Genomic DNA, 21133 nt, shown 5'->3' on the forward strand with positions numbered 1-21133 from the left:
TGCATGCCTGTGGTCTCAGCTACACAGGAGGCTGAGGCAGGAGAATCGCTTGAACCTGGGAGGCAGAGGGTGCAGTGAGCCAAGATTGCGCCACTCAAAAACAAACCAACAAACAAAAAACCAAATGGCTGTCTTCAAAATTATGTACAATTTTATTTTGAAACTATGTGATCCATCTAGAATGTTGAATACATAATTATAAACAGGATTCACACGCATGCTCTCTTGCTGATTAATTTTTCACCTATGATTTAATTTCTATTAAGATTAAAATATACTGTCATATACTCAGTAATTGTTCTTAAAATTTGCTAAATCCTTTAGCAAAGCTTTTCAAAGAGCAAGCTTTTTAAATTTATCTTGCTTTTTCTTTTTTTTTTTTTTTTTTTTTTTTTTTTTGAGACGGAGTCTCGTTCTGTCGCCCAGGCGGGAGTGCTGTGGCGCGATCTCCGCTCACTGCAAGCTCCGCCTTCCGGGTTCAAGCCATTCTCCTGCCTCAGCCTCCCGAGTAAGCTGGGACTACAGGCGCCCGCCACTGCGCCCGGCTAATTTTTTGTATTTTTAGTAGAGACGGGGTTTCACCGTGGTCTCGATCTCCTGACCTCGTGATCCGCCCGCCTCGGCCTCCCAAAGTGCTGGGATTACTTGCTTTTTCTAAGCTATGAACTTTTAAATTTTATAAGGTTCTCAGATCAACTTAATCTTGTTTCGTTATACTAAGTGTTTTCTGTTGCTTTTAACAGAATATCTGAAACTGGATAATTTATAAAGGAAATGAATTTATTTCTTATAGCTATGGAGGCTGAGAAGCCCAAGATCAAGGGGGTACAACTAGTGAGAGCCTTCTTGCTAGTGGGGACTCTGAAGAGCCCTGAGGCAGTGCCTGGTACCACATGGTGAGGGGGATGTGCATGCTTAAGTGCTAGCTCAGGTCTCTCTTCCTCTCCTTGTAAAGACACCAGCTCTGCTCCCATTATAACCCATTAATCCATAAGCCAATTGATCCATTTATGAGAAGAGAGCCCTCATGATCCAATCACCATGTAATGGCCCCATGCCTCTCAATACTGCCACACTGGAGATCAAGTTCCAACATGAGTTTTGAAAAAGACATTCAAACCGTACCATCAAGGTTTACCCATCTAAGGGATTCTCCCACTTAGCATTAGCTGCATCACACTAGTAGTTTTTAATTATTATTATATTTTTTTAGAGAGTCTCATTCTGTCACCCAGGCTGGAGTGCAGTGGCGTGATCTCGGCTCACTGCGACCTCCACCTCCTGGGTTCAACGATTCGCTTTTTACTTTCTTAAGAGTTATCAAGGAGATATTGAATCTTCATATTCCATATCACTAGCAGAAGAATACACGTAAATTCAGGGTCTTCAGGGCTTTGCTTAAACTGTACATAGATCAAATTCTTACTTATATAGTTGTATTTTTATTTTTATATAAATTTATATTCTTATTTTAGTTGTATACACAGTACAGAACCACAGCGTTCCAGAAACTTTTGGGTAAATAAAATTATCTGACTTTAATGCTGTGGCTTTAGGAAATTCCAACTTCCCAAAACCAAATGATTTCATAAAATACCATCACAGTGTATGAAAAAAAGAAAACAGATAACTAGAAAATATCCATTATTACAAGTTTAAACAACACTAATAAGGTTCAAATGGAAAATCTATAAATTCATATAATTTCCAATTATCTGGGTTCTGCTTGAACCAGCTCGTAAGGCACAGTGTTTATAATGATAATGCATTGTTTTACACCATATTTACATGAAGATTTAGCTTTAATACAGAAATCTAAATTCTTGCATGGTTTCAGATGTTATGCCTGAAATTCCAAAGTCTGCATTCTGTAGTAGCTGCAGTTAACACCCCAGAGGAAAAAATAAACTACATTCTTTAATTTTTTTTCTAGGGTCTGCATTCCTACTGCTTCTGGGACTTAAATCTGACATATAGGCAATTTTAAAGGTGACTCCTAAAAAAAAAAAAAAGGTGATTCCTGGGATTCTTAGAAGAATAAAATATGAAGGTATAAGTGTGATTTAAGAATAGGTGCAAAATATAAGCAGATTATGCGTCCAATAAAAAAAAAATAGGAACAAAACACAGAAGGTACCAAGGTTTTTTTGGGCACTCATTTTTTCACACTAACTACAATTTTCCCAATGTCATCTAGGAGGACCTCTGTACCTCCTCTGAGATGTGAACTGTGGGAAAACATTTTAAATGGTCCATTTTCAAGGCATGATAAATCTAAGCACTGGCAGCCAGCCTTGGTATGTAACAAACCGCACTGCTCATGCACCTAGAAGGTCACAATAAACGAACAGAATGTAGAGGAGGAGTCAGCCCATAAAAGGGAAGAAAGTTTCGTTATTGGGAAATCAAAACTTAAGGGGGGAAGGGAATGGGGTATATAACCTTACAAGGGGGATAATGAAACTTACGCGATGTCTGGGAAGACTGTAATCCCATAGTACTTAACCAATCAGAAACTGGGGGAAGGACTTGTGTGCTAGGAGATAAATTACCTGCTGTAACTGCCCCAGGTGTGCCTGCCCACCAGACACCCAATCTTGCAAGACTGCCATTAAAAGTCTTGCTTCCACTGTTCTTCAGGTCTCCAAGTCTGTTCTTTCGGTTTGGACGGGTAAATGGGTGGTTCTTAGATGAAGATATGGTCTTTAGCTCTTAAGTGCTGTTAAAGGTACCTGAAAAGTCTTCTCCCCAAGTTTGGCTTTTCCCTCGAGGTTCTTAATGAGGCTTTGCACCTTCTCCTGGGTTATCTGTCAGGGTGGCAATTAAGAATTTTGGTTTTCCTTTGTAAGCCTCATCTTCCCACTTAGGACATCTGACTAGGATGGGATTTGTTCAGTTTTCTCTTCTAACGGTCCCAGGGAAAAGTAATTTGGGATCATTTCAGATACGCCAATTCTATCTATTAATATACTTTTGAACTCAGGTATCCTAATGGTATAAATACTATAAATTGATCCAGGAGTGAGTCTCCCTTCCTGACTCTTGAAATGAGAAGCATTCATTAAGACAGTGAATCTGGCCTAGAGACAAAAATGAGACCCACAGGAAAAACAGATCTCCTGTAAGGACGAGAAGGGTGGGTAACACCCCTGTGGGGAAGGGTAACACAAACATTACAGTCCTCATCTAAGGAGACAAAAACCTTCCTGAACTCTGCAGGGCCCAGCGCAGAGCCTCAGCAACTGAGGGGATATAGGCAAGCCAGACAGCAAGACATCAAGGGGTCTTAAGAGCATGCATATTCCCTGTTCTGTAGCCCTGACTTCATTCAGGTTCTGGAACTGCTCCAGGCTATGACAAACTGTTAGAAATAAGACCACAGACTTGCAATTTTCTGAAATACAATACAGATTTTTTGCTCTTTACTAAAAAAAATCTGCCTGAAGAAAAAAATCAAGAGTATTTACCATCCTGAAGTCAGGTAAGTTCAGGTAACTGATTCACTTCAGTTCATAATACACCAGTTTTCTTTATACATGGGTTTATCCCAAGATCCCAGCAACCCCCACTTGTGAGAAATTATTTTGAGATCTTGGAGGAAGGGCCTTGTATTCTCAAACTTCCTGTATATATTTGAAAAGAAATTTCAAGTTTGAAAGTTTGACAATGGGAGAGCAACAGGAAACTAAGCACAATATACATTTGTAAAGATACAAATATACATTTTGAAATCAAGGGGACTCACAGTAAACAAGGTAAATTATGCACATGAAAGAAGATTCATTTATTTGAAAAGGAAGTATCTGGAGATAGGAAAAACCAAAGATGTTTTTTCCTACTTTCTTTTTTGTACAGACAAGGTCTCACTATGTTGCCCAGGCTGATCTGGAACTCCTGGCCACAAGGATCTGCCCTATCCTGAAACTTTCTAGGGGCCCCCAGCCACCAGTCATCACATGAGCATACAAAAGACACTTAACTCTGCAGATTCCGCTGGATGTCAGGGATTGGGGATAAAGACCAAATACATATTTCACAATATCATAGCACGTTATTTTTTGCGTCTCAGCAAAAGTGACAAACACAATGGGAAAAGGAGACTGATTTCCCTCATGCCATTATGAGAAAAATATCTGAGTGTACTCACTCAGTAACACACACGGCAAAGGCCATTATGAGAAAAATATCTGAGTGTACACAGTAACACACACGGCAAAGGCAAAGTTATTCCAGAGGTAATATGTAACTGGCAAAATTTTCCTCAAATTCTTTCCTCTTTTTACTATGACCTAAGCTGCACACACATTTCTGCCTCTGCATCCTTGATTGTACACGCTGCAAATATAGTCAATTTGCATTATTTGTGGTACTTATGTTCCATAAAGTCCACAAACACTGAAGTAGTGAATACCAAATCACTGCTCCTAGAAAACATACAGGGTTAGGTTTCTGCAAGCTTTGTTTTTGTCAACAGAACAATGCAACATATTGTTGATTCAGTAACACTGAACTCTCTGCCAACAGCATTATAACTTGTGCATGAATGAAGCTTATCTAATATACTTATTTTCTCCTAAGCCTTCCTGAGCTTAGGAACATCAGAAAGCACTCCAGCAGGGCATTTGGAGGCCATTTTAAACAGTAAAATCACCAACAAAAAGAACAGAAATTAGGAAGAGATGGGACTAAGTAGACTCAAAAAGGATACATGTTTACGGTATGAGAGCTGAAACTAGAAGGCAGAGTACCATTTGTTTCACTTCTGTTGGGAGGTGACTCACATTTTTGCCTACAAATGGCTCAAAAGCACTTGTGCAAGTACTGGTTCTGGGGTTATGGATAGATTTGAGCAAGGAGGCAAATTTACAAATATAAAATCCACAAATAATGAGGATATTTCAATTCCTTCAATGTGGTTGGAAAGCACAATTGCCCCAATAGGACAGTCAGAAACCAGGACTAGGAACTTGTATGAAAAAAGAACCTAGTCTTAATTGCCACCATCTATGTCTAAAATAAATTCTCAGGGAAGCAGAATTCTTACCTCTGTATGCTGTACATTTTTTCTATTAAAAAATGTCATAACTTCATTAAGCAGGTGAACTAAAATTTAAGAGACATCAATCAAAGAAATGACTAATGAATTTCACTTTAGTTTTTATTTTATTGTAAAACATTGAGATGGAATGATAGGGTTTCCCAGAATCAGGTCCATATTTTAACTAAATGAAAATTATGATTTATAGCCTTCTCAAATACCTGCCATACTTGATATCTCAACCAGAGCTAATTTTACCTCTTTACAAATTAAATAAGCAAGTAACTGGATCCACAATTTATAATACCTGTCAATTTTTTCTGTATTAAACCTCTATCATAGTTTAAGCCTATTAGGGTACTTAATCCTTACAAATAAACAGGTTTAAAATCACCTCAATAGGCAACTGCCCTTCTGGTTTTCTTCTTTGACTAAACAATCTGAATGCTTAAGATTTTCCACTTTGGGTGCTAGCAGTACACAGTGTTACACTCTGTATTCCAGACTTCTTAAATTATAGAAAAAGGAATGTACACTTTTTGTATTCTTTCTGAGCAGGGCCGGGAGGCAACATCATCTACCATGTTAGGGACTTGTATGCATGGACTACTTTACTGCATATATTTCAAGTTGCCCCCGCTTTTTTTTTCAACCACGCATTAACTCAAGATCAATGTATGTTCCATTAGAATAAGATTTATTAACTAGGAATTGCCAGAAAATCTTCCTGGTAACAAGGAAGTCCCCGTATTGTGAGTCTTAAGATTTTTCTGAAGAGAAAACCATACATATATAGCCTTTTTTCAGATGCTCAAAGAGGTCTAAAATCCTCTCCACCTCCAAAATAATAAGAAACATCTCAGCTGGGCACAGTGGCTCACGCCTGTAATCCCAGCACTTTGGGAGGCCAAGGTGGGCAGATCACTTGAGGCCAGGAGTTCAAGACCAGCCTAGCCAACATGGTGAAATCCCATCTCTACTAAAAATACAAAACTTAGCTGGGCATGGTGGTGCACCCCTGTAGTCCCAGCTACCCAGTAGGCTGAGGTAGGAGAATTGCTTGAACACGGGAGGCAGAGGTTGCAGTGAGCCGAGATCGTGCCACTGCACTCCAGCCTAGGTGACAGAGAGAGACTCTGTCTCATTAAAAAAATTAAAAAAAAAAAATGCTGGGTGAGGTGGCTCATGCCTGTAATCCCAGCACTATGGGAGGCCAAGGAGGGTGGATTAGTTGAGGTCAGCAGTTCCAGACCAGCCTGTCCAACATGGTGAAACCCCATCTCTACTAAAAATACAAAAATTAGCTGGGCGTGGTGGTGTGCACCTGCAATCCCAGATACTTGGAGGCTGAGGCAGGAAAATCACTGGAATCCGGGAGATGGAGGTTGCAGTGAGCTGAGATTGCGCCACTGCACTCCAGCCTGGGTGACACAGTGAGACTCCATCTCAAAAAAAAAAAACATGAATCATCTCACTGATCCTCTTATTTTACAAAACAGTAATATGCAGTATTGTTTAGTTTAACTTGCCATCATTCAGTAGCTAACCCTATTCTCCAAAGTTCTGGTAGCTCTAACAAACTGTAACTTTATAAACAGAGACAGGCACTTTGGTTCTATTCTAATACTTTCACAAACATACTGCATTTATAACATTTAAAAGATTTTAATTACTGTCAAATATATCTGGATTACATCTTTTTTTTTTCTTTGATAGCGTTTCACTCTTGTTGTCCAGGCTGGAGTGCAATGGGGTGATCTCAGCTCACTGAAACCTCTGTATTCCAGGTTCAAGCGATTCTCCTGCCTCAGCCTCCCAAGTAGCTGGGATTACAGGCACCTGCCACTAAGCCCAGCTAATTTTTTTGTTATTTTAGTACAGACAGGGTTTCACCATGTTGGCCAGGCTGGTCTCAAACTCCAGACCTCAGGTGATCCACCCACCTCGACCTCCCAAAGTGCTGGGATTACAGGCATGAGCCACTGTGCCTGGTCTGGATTACATCTTAACCTACAATATTTCATGAAGTTAATGATTTTAAATAAAAGGAAATCAAGTAACATCTGAATTTCTAAGTCTAAATACATTTAGATGATAGTGACTCCTGCAACTGTTTCAAAATTATTGGAAAATATGTCATTTTCTTGAAATGAACTTGGTATTAAAGGCAGCAAATATGTCTTTATAAGGAGTTTCTGAATCTGACTTGGTCGATGGTATTCGGCAAAGTTGGCGAAATCCAGGAGAACGCAGCAGCAAATTCTGTGAAAGGCCCACGAAGCTGGAGCATAACCAGTAGAGAACAATTGACTATAAAGAGAAGACATAAATGTTAGCATCTGTAATTCTACAAGGACATCACAGTCCAGACAATAAAAAATAAAATGACAATCTTTGTAAATACAAGTATGCCAAGACTAAGCAAGACTTGCAGCAGCTACTAGATTCCTGGGATAGATTTAATAGACAGGGAAAAAAGGTTACAGACAGACCAAAAAGCAAAAATAAAGGAAAAAGAGAAGTATTTAGGGTAGAAAGTAAAAAGAGAGAAGCTCCTAGGCAGAGGCTCAAGAGAGATCTTATCTCCCTTCTTCGACAATGGAACATAACTTTTTCCCCACCAAAAGTCCTGTCCAACTGCTTACATACTGAAGGTAGAATGCTGGAAGTGTGGCACTTATGATGGCAAACTTAGCCTCCCTACACCTAATTTTCCCCATACAGTCATCTATCTTCCAAATGTTTCCCAACAGCCAGTTTCTCAGTGTAGTAAGGAATGCATTTTCTTTGCCTTCTTCTGAGACAAACAGCCTCAGCATTATCTCCAAATTTCTTTTGTATTACCATCTTGAGCAGTGGTCCCCAACATTTTTGACACTAGGGGCCAATTTTTCCATGGACAGGAGGAAGATTTTGGGATGAAACTGTTCCATTCCTCGTATCATGAGGAATGAGATCCTCATAAGGAGTGTACACCCTAGATCCCTCACCTGTGCAGTTCACAATAGGGTTCGTGCTATGAGAATCTAATGCTGCTAATCTGACAGGAGGTGGAGCTCAGGTGGTAAGGCTCACTTGCCCACCACTCACCTCCTGCTGTCAGCCGGCTCCTAATCGGCTATGGACCAGTACTGGTCTGTGGCCCCGGGTGACCATTTATTTAGGTCAATACGAAGTTCTACAACCTCCTGAAATACTCCTATACTTACACCTGTTCCAAACTTTTCTTTAGCATCAGAAGGTAATCAGGCCCCAGAAACAAAATCATGCAGTTGTTAAGTCTAGGTCCTGGAGGCAAACTGCCTGAATTTGAATCCTACTTGCCATCTATTTGACTTTGAGTAAGTTATTTTCCTTCTGTTCCAGTTTCCTCATCTGTAAAGTGGGGACAGTAACTGCATCTACCTCAGAGGATTGCTGTGAGGAATAAATGAGATAATTCATGTAGAGTGGTATGCAAGTATGTGGTCCACATTCAGCACTTACATTTGTTATTTGTTCCAAAGTCAGTCTTTAGGGGCAGAAAGCAGCACATCCTCAAAGGTAGATTAGCACAGTAGTTAAGAGGAGGAGCCAAACTGCTTAGATGTGTGTTAAGACTCTATCACTTATAGCTAAGTGACCTTGGATGAGTTACTTAACTTCTCTGTGCCTCAGTTTCCTCATCACCAAAGTGAAGATTATAATAGTACCTTTATCGTCGCGCTGTTGGGACAATTACATGGGGTAAAATATGTAAACCATTTAAAACAGTGCTTAGCACAAAGTCAGTGTTAAATAAATATTGGCTATCATCATTATCTGATTTATCCACCAAAAGAAAAAGAACCTGCGGCCAACTACAGCAGTCTATAAGTTGCCAGCTAAGTATCAATCTCCCCTCTTCCTTAGTAACAAAATCTTAATTTTTATTTGAGTAGGCTGTCATCTAAAAAAAAAAAAGACTATATTTCCTTGCCTCTTCTGCAGTGAGGGGTGGTCATAAAACTAAGATGTTAACACAACTGTTTGGTGGAACATCTGGCAAGTCTCCTTAAAAGGGGCTGACTGCACTTGAGGCACCCTTTTCTATTCCTGCATGATAACAAGCTCTAACAGCCATGACCGTAGTGTAGCCTTGAAATCACAGGCTGTGGATAACAAAGCAGAAAGAGAGCAGCAGTCTGGGTCTCTCATCTTCATGGACTTGTCTCATCATCCCTAAGCTGCTTAATCAGATTTCCTATAATTGACAGGATAAATTTTGGGTATTTAAGGCATTGTGTTTTAGATCTCTTGTTACTCATTTTGAACTCAATCCCTCATTAAAACTTAACTGCTCGTATTTTATTTTATCTGAGGCGTTCTTCAGTATATAGCTGGTATGATTGCTCTGTGGAAATGTAGTGAATCTGTGCCGTTCTACTTTTACAGGGTATTTTACAACACTACTACTTTATGTAAAAAGTTCTCTAATAGGCACTCATTTCATTAATTCTCACAGGCATTATGATATCTATTTTAGAGATGAACAAACTTATTCTGCATAGGATTAATGACAGTATTATGTTCAGTAACAGCCTAAAAAATAGATTTTGATAGCAAAAACATACTGTTTTAGATTCCTATAAAAAATATTGTGGGCCAGGCATGGTGGCTCACACCTGTAATCCCAGCACTTTGGGAGGCCGAGGCGGGTGGATCACCTGGGTCAGGAGTTCAAGACCAGCCTGGCCAACATGACGAAACCCCACCTCTACTAAAAATACAAAAATTAGCCAAGTGTGGTGGCGTGTGCCTGTAATCCCAGGTACTAGGGAGGCTGAGGGAGGAGAACCACTTGAACCCAGGAGGAGGAGGTTGCAGTGAGCTGAGATTGCGCCACTGCACTCCAGCCTGGGCGACAGAGCAAGACTCCATCTCAAAAAAAAAAAAAAAAAATACTGTGAGGTAGTTTTATATATGCTACACCCTAACTATTAATAACAACTGAATTCGACTTTATGTGTTAGCTCTGAGTAAACATGGAGATATACCTAACACAGCTTTTGCCTCCTTAGAAACTTCTAAAGTATTTGTGGGAAACATGCAAAAGACTGAACTAACTGCAAACATAACCATTTCTTTTTCTATTTCTATAAAGATTAATTAGGTATATACAGGGACAAGTTTACCTATTTCATAGAGTTGTTATGAGATTAAATAATACCATACACAAACCCAAATGGTCTTAGCATTTTGTTTTGTTTCTTTTTAAGTGCTAAATTCTTTGCTCCAGTCTACATAGGCAGAACTAATTCAATATACCAAGTAGTCAAATGGAAGAAATACCATATTCATGGTATTATGCAAAACACGTTGCAAAATTTAAAAAAAGGCAAGAAATAGAGACAGATTAGTTACCACAGAAACACTGATTTGGTAAGGGATCAAGTAGTCAGAGGAAGTTCAGCAGAAGAAGCAGGATCCCAGCCAGGTGCGGTGGCTCACGCCTGTAATCCCAGCACTTTCGGAGGCCGAGGCGGGAGGATCACAAGGTCAGGAGATCGAGACCATCCTGGTTAATATGGTGAAACCCCGTCTCTACCAAAAATACAAAAAATTAGCCAGGCGTGGTGGCAGGCGCCTGTAGTCCCAGCTACTCAGGACGCTGAGGCCGGAGAATGGCGTGAACCCAGGAGGCGGAGCTTGCAGTGAGCCGAGATCGCGCCACTGCACTCCAGCCTGGGTGACAGAGCGAGACTCCGTCTCAAAAAAAAAAAAAAAAAAAAAAAGAAGAGGCAGGATCCCAGCCAGTCTAAGCTAAAGTCAGAGAGGATTTAGCACATGCTACACACAATATTGGTGCTTACTCACTGAGGGTACCGTTGCAGCAATTGGTATCATCAACACCGACATTGCACGGACAAAGTACGTAATATACGTCTGAAAACGAGACATTCCAATTTTTTGTAGAGCACAAATCTGAAGGGGTAGAACATATACATGCATAATGATTATTAAAACGCATATTAAATCAGACAAGCTTTAAAATATAAACTGATTTTTCACTGGCCTCCATCTACACTTTAATAAAAGTTATATATATACACACAAAACACTGATTAATTTATATGGCTGATCATCTTTTTATTTTTTGAGACCTGTCTTGCTATCAAACTGAGACCAGTTTAAGGGCTGGTCTCAAACTCCTGGGCTCAAGTGATCCTCCCGCCTCCTCCTCCCAAGTAGCTGGGATAATAGGCATGCACCAACCACTGCACTCAGCTTGATCATCCATCTTTTAAAAATCTTAACTGGCCTAGGTGGAAGGATCACTCTAGTCCAGAAGTTTGAGGCTACAGTGAGCTATAATCATGCCACTGCACTCCAGCCTGGGCAATACAGCAAGATCCTGTCTCTTAAAAAAAACGACAACAAAAAAAAAACACTAATTATGTCAAATTCTTAAACGGAGGTTTTTTGACACTTTGTACCAAAAAACAAGGGCAATGATTTATATGGTAGCTATTGTCACAGGATTCTTCAAGCTCCACTTAACAATGATTTATATGGTAGCTACTGTCACAGGATTCTTCAAGCTCCACTTAAGAATTCTGCGTAAGGCTGGGGGCCTGTAATCCCAGAACTGGGAGGCCCAGGCAGGCCGATTGTTTGAGCTCAGGAGTTTGAGACCAGCCTAGGCAATTAGGCAACATAGCGAAACCATCTCTACAGAAAATACAAAAATTAGCTGGGCGTGGTGGCATGTCTGCAGTCCCAGCTATTCAGGAGGGAGGCTGAGGTGGGAGGATCGCTTAAGCCTGGAAGGCACAGGTTGCAGTGAGCTGAGATCACGCCACTGCACTCCAGCCTGGGTGACAGAGTAAGACCGTCTCCAAAAAAAAGAAAAGAAGGAAAAAAAAAAAAAGACTTCTCCATAATTATGACTCTAGAGCCAAACTACGTAGTTTTACATTTTTATGCCTCACTTTCTCTGCATTAAAAAAGGATAATATTTAGCTCACAGGGTTATTCCAAGAAGTAAATGAGTTGATTTATGTAAATTGCTTATAACAATGCCTATGGCCAGGCACAGTGGCTCACACCTGTAATTCCAGCACTTTGGGAGGCTGAGGCGGGCGGATCATTTGAGGTCAGGAGTTCCAGACCAGCCTGGCCAACATGGTAAAACCCAGTCTCTACTAAAAATACAAAAAATTAGCTGGGTGTGTTGGCGGGCGCCTGTAATCCCAGCTACTCGAGAGGCTGAGACAAGAGAATCACCTGAACCTGGGAGGTGGAGGTTGCAGTGAGTGGAGATCACACCACTGCACTCCAGCCTAGGAAACAGAGTGAGACTCTGTCTCAAGAAAAAAACAAACAAACAAACAAACAAAAAACACAATGCCTTGCACATAGTGTATGTTGAGTAAGAATAAGCTTTTAATAAGCTTTTATTTTTCTTTTAGAGGTGAGGTCTTTCTCTCTGTCGCCCAGGCTAGAGTACAGTGGTGGGATCACAACTCACTGCAGCCTCCATCTCTTGGGCTCAAACAATCCTCCTGACTCAGCTTCCAAGTAGCTGGAACTAGAGGCGCACGCCACCATGCCCCGCTATGAAAACACCTTTATTAGTCTTTAGATGACATAGAGGAAAAGACTAGGGGATTGACATTGATTCACTGTAACCTTGTGCTTATCACTTCCTTCTTTCTACCAAATATTCACTGAACACCAACCACAGGGGACTGTGCTAGTGCTCTTAGGGAAACATATTTGGACTACAGGTAGAGTCTTTCCTCAAGAAACTTTCACTTAAGACCTTATATTCTATCATCTCCATTTTCCTCATCTGAAAGAATAAGGGGTATATTAGATTTCACAAACAGGCATCAGAGGTCATGAGGTCTGGGAGATCTCTACTGAGGTAAATCATTTTTAAGATTTCTTCCAGTCCAGTCTGTTCTACTCAGAGTCTGAGAACAATTTATGAAATTATATGCACGCTTTCCCTAAACTGCTGAGTAAAGCAGCCTGTGATAAGGGTTAAGACATGACTGAGAGGGCTGGGCACAGTGGCTCATGCCTGTAATCCCAGCACTTTGGAAGGCCAAGGCGGGTGGATCACCTGAGGTCAGGAGTTCGAGACCAGCCTGGCAAACATGGTGAAACCCTGTCTCTACTAAAAATACAAAAATTAGCCGGGTGTGGTGGTGTGCGCCTATAATCCCAGCTACTCAGGAGGCAGAGGTTGCAGTGAGCCAAGACTGCGCCATTACACTCCGGCCTGGGCAACAAGAGCAAAACTCCATCTCAAAAAAAAAAGAAAAAAAAAGACATGACTGAGAGGTCACATTTTCTATGTGTATGTTTTTCCCATTTCATCTTATAAAGACATTCAATGACTTTTCTAAGGTCATAAAGCAAGAAAATAGCAGTCAGGGCCTGACTTGTGTTCTCCGCCTACAAATTCACATATTAAACACACACACGGAACATCACTCTATTTTAAGAATACAACCAGATTGACTGGGCATCTTTATTACTGTTTTTGCCAAAAGCAAGTCACAAAATTCTATGTATCAGAATCATATAATTTTGAAGCTGAAAGAGACTTGGAAGTATACTAGTGCTTTTACTTTAATTTCGAGAGTTCTGAGGCCCAGAGAGGTTAAGGGACAGGCCTAAGCCAATGCCTGACGTGGAACCAGGAACCAAGGGATCTCACTTCTAACTCAGAGCTATCTTCACCAACTCAAACAAAAACAGATTTGAAGTCAAAACAGCAGCAACAAAAATCCCCATAAATGGCAAACAAATTTCATTTAAAACTACTGACCTCCACTATTAACAAATTGATGACGCCAACAGAGATAGGCAGAATCCAAGTGGAGTCGGGTGCAGTGAGGTCAGGAAACCACAGAATTCCACCAGTAGCTAACTGTTCCTGAACAGAAAAACCTGCTAAAACAGTTTTATAAATAAAACAATAGAAGTCCTAAAAATAGCAGAGAAAAATATATAAGACATAAATAAGTAGTCTGACAATTCCAATAAGGTGTCCCTCACAGGAAAGATCTGCACTGGATTTATTCCAGTTTTTCACGCACAATATATATATTTTTTCTCAATACAAAATGTTCACAACACAACCAATCTGTTTACACTTAAGACTTTAAATTCTATACCCTTATAAGGAAGATAGTAAACATATCGTAATTATGAAAAGTATGCTTTTTTTTTTTTTTTTTTTTTTTTAGTACAAAGACAATGTTAGAGAACTTCTTTGGGAGAAGACATACAATAATTACCTTCTGAATGTGCTGCCCCCGTGCTTAAATTCCGGAGAGCAAAAGACATGAAGATCCACATTGGAAGCTGAATCCAAACCAACACAGTGGCTTTGAAAGGGTGGCAGTTATCTCGCACATATAGCTCTGAAATTAGCCTCCTCATATTCTTTAGATAAGTGAGCCTAGATTGAGGTTAGGGGGAAAAAAGGGGAAAGAGAAAATGTCATCTAAGAATCGTGCTTTATTTCCATAGCACAAATAGCGCCTGCTGTAGTTATTAGCTAAAGGATTTGTATAAGGGTTTCAGCTGTCACAGGCATGTTAAGGAGTTGCCTAAACAACAGGCAAATAAAGCCTTTTATCAAAACTTCTACAGTATGGTACACAAGTTACATAACAATCTGAAATTGTCAGACTACAGGCTTTGTCTCTGGTGGTCTTTGGCTGATTAGGCTTTAAAGGTAAATTTCACTACTGACATGGTATAACTACAATTAATATTGGAAATATGGAAGCTAAAAGCAAACTTTAATCAAATCTCTCCACTCCCGCCAAACTTAACCACTTCATCCCTGAATATACCTTTTGGAGCTATGTGGTTTTATACTGTGTATGCTCTTGGCCTGTCAAAATAGTCTCCATTTTTCAATCAACTATCTCACAAAGATATTTTTAATCTGTTTCTCTGTTAACCATATTAGTTACTACTGTTTTTTCCTGAAATTTTACTTTTTAGAATACAGTCTTCCTTCAGGTCCAAGAGAATAGGAGTTAAAAAACAAAAACTAAAGTATTCTTAGTTTAGGGGACAGTGTTCTATTTTATTCATCTTTAAATCTCCTGTATCATATATTTTGTACAGAGGAGGCATTCAATAGTTTTTCTGAATTTAGTCAAATTATAGTGTATAATAAGACAGTACACAAAGACATTCTAGGTCCTCCATAATTTCACATTTGCCTATTCTTCCAATTTTATCTCGTTACTCCTCTAGACACCTGCATATTCTGGTCTGAATGACTTTAGTTCATCCAACAAATCAGACTTCCGCATAGGCATGCCTTTGGAAGTACTGTATTATATCATCTGTGTGGAAAGCCCACTTTCCTGGCTGTCCATCTGACACACCGTCTTTTACCCTTCAAGACTCAATACTATTGAAAATGCAGGAAGCTGGCCAACACTGTGGCTTGCACTTGTAATTCCAGCTACTTGGGAGGCCAAAGTGGGAGGATTGCTTGAGGCCAGGAGTTTGAGATCAGCCTGCACAACACAGGGAGATTCTGTCTTGTTCAAAAAAACAAAAAAGAAAAGAAAAGAAAAGAAAATGCCAGAAGCCCTCAGATGTTTCCTCCTAGAAAGAAACATCTGTAAGGCTGTATCTGCACAACCATCCTGCCAGTACTGCTTAAGCAAGGTGCCACAAGTCTTATCTAGGCTGCGTTGATAACCCAGGCAAGCAGCTATTAATCTGGTTCTTTTGGCCTATGGCTGAAGCTTTCGACTTCTTTGATAAGTAAAATTTCAAACCTATAGGTCAACTTTTAATTTTTACCAAATAAAGACATTAAGCTATCACCACGATTTTTTAAAATGTCAGATCTTTTTAACACTAAATATAGGACACAATCTCGTATTAAAGATAGTTGGGAAATGTACAACTATATAAAAATATATGGTTAATAATATACACATAACACAGATTGATACCACAAAGGCCTTTTTCCATTGCTGTAAAAAGGAGAATAATTTTTCGCAGTCTAGTAAGGATTAGAGTTTGGGAAACTGATTGAGGAGTTGATTGAAGCAAGAGGGCTTGTAAGTTCCCAGTGAATGAATGCAGACATCCTTGGGCGCAATCAAGCACCCTTAGATTGGGACTTTCCAAGAACCCAGGCAGACAACTGCACAGAATAACCACAAAGGATAGACAGCATCTTAGCTATCAAAGTGTTTCTACTGTGGCACTTGTTTTCTACCTCCTCTTTCCTGTAGGCTATTACCTGCTGTATCTTTTCCAAAAGGTCAAGATTGTAAATAACCTGTGTCATTTGTTGACCAATATCACAAAAGAATGGCAAAGTGCCTTCATCCTGTGAACCCTGCCCTGACCTTCCTTGATGATCTAGCTCCTTGTACATCATCTTTATATAACAGTTAGTTCACTGACATCATTATTTGATTACAGGTCTGTCTTTTTCAATAGGCTGGAATCCCTAAAGAATAGGAACATACTCTTCTTATCTTTATCTATTTATTTCTTTGCTTTCAGTCCAGCATATGAAACTATCATGCCATATTAATAACTTATGAAAATATAAAAGAGTAGGCTGGGCACGGTGGCTCACGCCTGTAATCCCAGCACTTTGGGAGGCCGAGGAGGGTGGATCACCTGAGGTCAGGATTCCAGACCAGCCTGACCAACATGGAGAAACCCCATCTCTACTAAAAATACAAAATTAGCCAGGCATGGTGGTGCCTACCTGTTAATCCCAGCTACCTGGGAGGCTGAGGGAGGAGAATCGCTTGAACCTGGGAGGCAGAGGTTGTGATGAGCCGAGATCACACCATTGCACTCCAGACTGGGCACCAAGAGCAAAACTCCGTCTCAAAAAAAAAAAAAAAAAAAAAAAATATATATATATATATATATAAAAAAAGAAATACTTTACTGCCAAAACTACAGAATACTCAAACTTATAATTAACATCACAATTTATGTATGTGTGTGTGTGTGTGTGTGTGTGTGTGTGTGTGTATGTGTGCGTATGGTCTTACGTGGATATAATTAGCTTACCTGGCATCTCTTTTGGACCACCCCAACTGATTTGCACGAACTGCAACTTCTTGGTTAAGATGCCTGGCAATAGTTTTTATTTCTGGCTGCAAATTTTCCACCTAGCTAAAAAATAGGTTTTGTTATGAGCACATAAAGGATCTTTATTCATAATGACTCATAATCTTTCACATTATTCCCTCGAGTCATTTAAAAATGTAGTTTACTGATCATATCAAGAAATCTTAATTCTAAGCACAAGATGTTAATTTGCTTAAAATGTCCTCAGTCACAACCAAATTCACAATGCATACTTATCCATGTGATCCTGTGCAAGTAACTTAACCTCTAAAATCATGTTCCCTCACATATAAAATATATAACAGCACCTACTTCACAGGGTTACAAATATTAGATAAGAACTGCACCCTGGGCTTTACTGTTCCATCTCTACATTTCCTAGTAACGTAAGCGGAGAAAACAGCAGTTTGTTAAGAACCTTTAATACACTGTGATAGCCACAAATCAAAAGTAAAAATAGCATTTATTCCTGCCCTGTGCTCATTCTTCCTGTAAAATGGCTCACTGCCTTAATGTTGCTGCTGATTCCGTTCCTGTTTTGTTTCCGGTTTTTTTTCCCCATGCTCACAACCTGAAAACAAGAAAGCCACTATTTTTGAAATATCCCATTTGAATAATCAAGCACTTTAACCCGTATTATCTGACTTGCTCTGATAACGCTGTGAAGTAGGCAAGGAAGGTACTGCTAGCCTGATTCCTCAGAAAAAAGGATTCAGCATTAAAAGGTCAAGTAACTGCGACCAACCAGACACAGTCTTAGTCGGGTCTGGAGAGGAAACAAGTTCGCAAACTGTTAGTCTAGTAGTTTCTTCCTAATAAGAAAGACCAGCTGGAATACTTTGGGACGAAAGACACTGCAGACATACTGGCTATTAAAACTTTTAAGACATAAATTTTGTAGGTTTCGCCAACACAATTTCTTCTGCGACTGATTTCTTTGTCTCCGTTCCCCGAGAGCAAGTATAGTAACCACTTGTGCTTGGAGCACAAATCCAGTAAGACAAAAGAAATGACAGGTACACGTGTCACAAAGTATCTTATTTAACACACCTAATGCTAGTTCAATTTTTTTTAACGCTAAAATGGTCACAATGAAATGGTCACGATGATTAAACACTAAGCACTGCAGAAGGCAACATCGTGCGATCGAAAACCCTGAGTGAATGTCGGCCTTCCTCCGCCGCAGGGGTTGCAGCGCAGGGTACGCGCACGGCTCGGCGCCCCTCACCTTGGCCAGGATGTAGTGCTGGTAGGCTGCCAAAGGCAGCGTGACAGCACCCCGTAAGGCCACGGTGGAGAGCAGAATGCTGCCCCACCAGGGCAGGCCCGTGGCGGCGTGCACGCCGAGCAGTACTTCCTCCGCAACCCGCACCGGCGAAGACGCGGCCAGGGCCTCGTACCAGCCGTTCGCATGTACTGCAGAGACTGGTGCCACTGCCCACACTGGGAGAGTGGGGCGCTTGGCGCCGCTCGTAGGAACCGGCGCAAGCGGCAGGTCCCTAGCCCAAAGCTGCAGGGCAGGGAGCGGCCGCAGCCACCGACCGCCGAGCCGGCACAGCATTTCTGCACCACGGCGGAGCCCAGATCCCGGGCCTCACAATCCAGCGGACATACACCGGCCAGCCAAGGCTGATACGCGCACGCGCCAGCAACAGCGGGCATAAAGCGCATGCGCGCCTGCCTGCAGCCGCGATTGACCTTCCCAGTCAAGCCGGTGACGTCTTGCGTCGCAGTGGATGTGACGCAAGAGATAGGAAAGTCCCGCCTTTCCCACGCGGCACTGGACAGGCCTACTGCGCACACGCGAAAGTTTCCCGCTGCTAGGGTGTAGTTAGTCCGAGGCCGGACCAAAACTGCAGAGACATGGGTGGAGCCTGCTGCCCTCCGCCAGGCTGGGTGTTCTTTAGGGAGCTCTCGCCTTGTAAAGTTCATCTACACCGTGTAACTTACCATTCTTTTTCACTAAAGCTAATAGTCATTTGTAGTGGAATTATCCTTGCTCGGTTTTTTGTGACCAGAAGCTGATCCCCAACCTCTTTACGTGCACCTGATTGCTTCCGTTAGCGATTACGATAGATTATCATACTCAAGAGTCACACGTTGCTAAAGTACCTGCTTGTAGAGAGACGCATGTTTCTTGCTGACTCTGAGTGTTAAGCACGAGGGATAGTTCAGTCTCTTGTAGATTTAATTGGCCCATCTGTTCCAGTTAGTATTTGGACCACCAACTGCAAACTGAATTTCTTCGGTGTTTTGTCTTCCATGATAAATAGCAGCAAAAATCTTATAGTAAAAGTATCATCTCTTTATTTAAGGGAAACTATCACTGGCAGTACGGTGAATTCCTTGAGTTTACTTGTATCCTATATAAGCTTTAAAGAGCCTGAACAGCAGCACTGGCTGTCTTCTGGTTTAAAGGAATACGTTGAATCTACATGGACTATATAGTTTTAACTTTTGTGTTCCTGGAAACAACAAAATGGAATGTTGTGGAGGAGTTTCCTCACCGAAGGGTCACCCCTAGACTACAGACTAAAATATGTTGTGAGGAGTAAACCTTGATTTTTATTTATTTATTTATTTACTTACTTAGGAAAAGAAGCCTCCAACAATGTTGGGTAATGTCAAACGCCAGCTATTGTTTGCCCTTCACTGTGCACCTAACCAAGGGTACCCTACGATAACTTTCTCAGGATTCTGGAATTCATCTGCTTTCCAAACTGACTGATAAATCTATACATGAATTTTTAAATGTGTTTAAACACACAGCACAACACACACTATATATAAACTTTTTCTAAAAGAAAAACCTACCAATCTATTTCTTTATCCATTTATTAAGCTAACAAAAAAGCCATCAGTTGCTACTGACTACTGTTCAGCTGTTCATAATCTGAACAGAATTTTAAAGTTATTTTTGCTAGACACAGTGGATCACGCCTGTAATCCCAGCACTTTGGGAGGCCAAGATGGGAGGATACCTTAAGGGCAGAAGTTAGAGATCAGCCTTGGCAACATGGCAAGACCTCATCTCTACAACAAATACAAAAATCATCCAGATGTGGTGGCTTGCATCTGTGGTCTCAGCTACCAGGAGGCTAAGGCGGGAGAATTGCTTGAGCCCCCCGGAGTCCAAGGCTGCAGCGAGCAATGATCGAGCCAGTGCACTCCAGCCTGGGTAGCAACAAGATTCCCATCTCTTTAAAAAAAAAAAAAAAAAGCAAGAAAAGAAAAAAAAAAAGCTGTAAGCTGTTCTTCAATTCCTAAGATTTAATTTTGTGGAGTTCTATCGGGGTCACAAATGAGATTTCAGTGTTGGAACACATTTTTTGCTATACATTGTGTTCATATATTACATTCTTATTTTAAAAAGTATTTCCTTAAGTTTGAATATTGATCTAAATAAAATTTATGAATATTTAGTTTCTGCTAATTTCATATATGTGTATAAACACATTTCTTAATCTATATAACAGGGATGACTAGAACTTGCTATCTACTTGGTAGAGGATGTTGGGGGAAGTAGTTGTCAATTTTAAAGCCCAATGCAAAAGAAAAGTGTTACTACTAATGTATAGGTACTGTTTATACAACATTGTGATTATTTTGTATCTTTTGTTTCAGAGTACAGTACAAAATGATCTACAACTATTGAGTGGACCAACTGAAATCATTTGTCAATCCTCTTTGCAAATGAACTTGTGCAATGTATTAAAACATTTTTAAAGGTTCAACATTTATAATTAGCTTATTCCAGTCTTTGATATTAGTGTTATGTCAGTTAATTTCTCAACTTTAAATTCCTTAAGAAGAGACTACGTATTACATTTTCTTTCTGCAGTCTCTGTAATTCTTAACCATCATGGTGCCAAACACAGGAATGGAGCTTGCTATGGACTGAATATTTTTGTCCTCCCCAGATTCTTTTTTGAAACCCCAAGGTGATGGTATTTGGAGGTAATTCGTCTTAAGGGTAGAGCTCTT

General features: G+C 40.4%; 1 protein-coding gene and 1 long non-coding RNA gene across 7 annotated transcripts, besides 4 other annotated features; one reads left to right on the plus strand and one right to left on the minus strand.

Annotated features, from left to right (window-relative positions):
* Positions 1-1422: 1422 nt before the first annotated feature.
* On the minus strand, positions 1423-18820 carry COX18 (cytochrome c oxidase assembly factor COX18). Of its 6 annotated transcripts, none has more exons than NM_173827.4 (6): positions 18378-18777; positions 17090-17190; positions 14311-14474; positions 13839-13960; positions 10874-10981; positions 1423-7348 (listed from the first exon to the last, which is right to left on the minus strand). In NM_173827.4, exons 1-6 carry the CDS (start codon positions 18708-18710, stop codon positions 7175-7177), a joined length of 1002 nt encoding a protein of 333 aa, NP_776188.1. In that variant the 5' UTR covers positions 18711-18777; the 3' UTR covers positions 1423-7174. The 6 variants fall into 6 exon arrangements, with proteins under 6 accessions (NP_776188.1, XP_016863534.1, NP_001284661.1 ...); XM_017008045.3 differs by having other exon boundaries at positions 10870-10981; NM_001297732.2 differs by having other exon boundaries at positions 13839-13963.
* Positions 18096-18611: an enhancer, noted in NCBI's record as "H3K27ac hESC enhancer chr4:73934752-73935267 (GRCh37/hg19 assembly coordinates)". NCBI's record gives its function as "activates a minimal SCP1, AML or CMV promoter by ChIP-STARR-seq in naive and primed H9 embryonic stem cells {active_cell/tissue: H9 hESC(naive and primed)}" and the evidence as "EXISTENCE:reporter gene assay evidence [ECO:0000049][PMID:30033119]".
* Positions 18546-19065: an enhancer, noted in NCBI's record as "active region_21609". NCBI's record gives its function as "activates an Ori minimal core promoter by ATAC-STARR-seq in GM12878 lymphoblastoid cells {active_cell/tissue: GM12878}" and the evidence as "EXISTENCE:reporter gene assay evidence [ECO:0000049][PMID:35858748]".
* Positions 18546-19128: a biological region, named in NCBI's record as "H3K27ac hESC enhancer GRCh37_chr4:73935268-73935784".
* Positions 18612-19128: an enhancer, noted in NCBI's record as "H3K27ac hESC enhancer chr4:73935268-73935784 (GRCh37/hg19 assembly coordinates)". NCBI's record gives its function as "activates a minimal SCP1, AML or CMV promoter by ChIP-STARR-seq in naive and primed H9 embryonic stem cells {active_cell/tissue: H9 hESC(naive and primed)}" and the evidence as "EXISTENCE:reporter gene assay evidence [ECO:0000049][PMID:30033119]".
* Positions 19007-20883, plus strand: LOC112268467 (uncharacterized). The gene is made up of 2 exons (XR_002959797.2): positions 19007-19090; positions 20774-20883. It is a non-coding gene; the product is annotated as an uncharacterized LOC112268467 (long non-coding RNA).
* Positions 20884-21133: the final 250 nt, after the last annotated feature.

Source organism: Homo sapiens, chromosome 4 (assembly GCF_000001405.40).
Source record: "Homo sapiens chromosome 4, GRCh38.p14 Primary Assembly".
Taxonomy (NCBI): domain Eukaryota; kingdom Metazoa; phylum Chordata; class Mammalia; order Primates; family Hominidae; genus Homo; species Homo sapiens.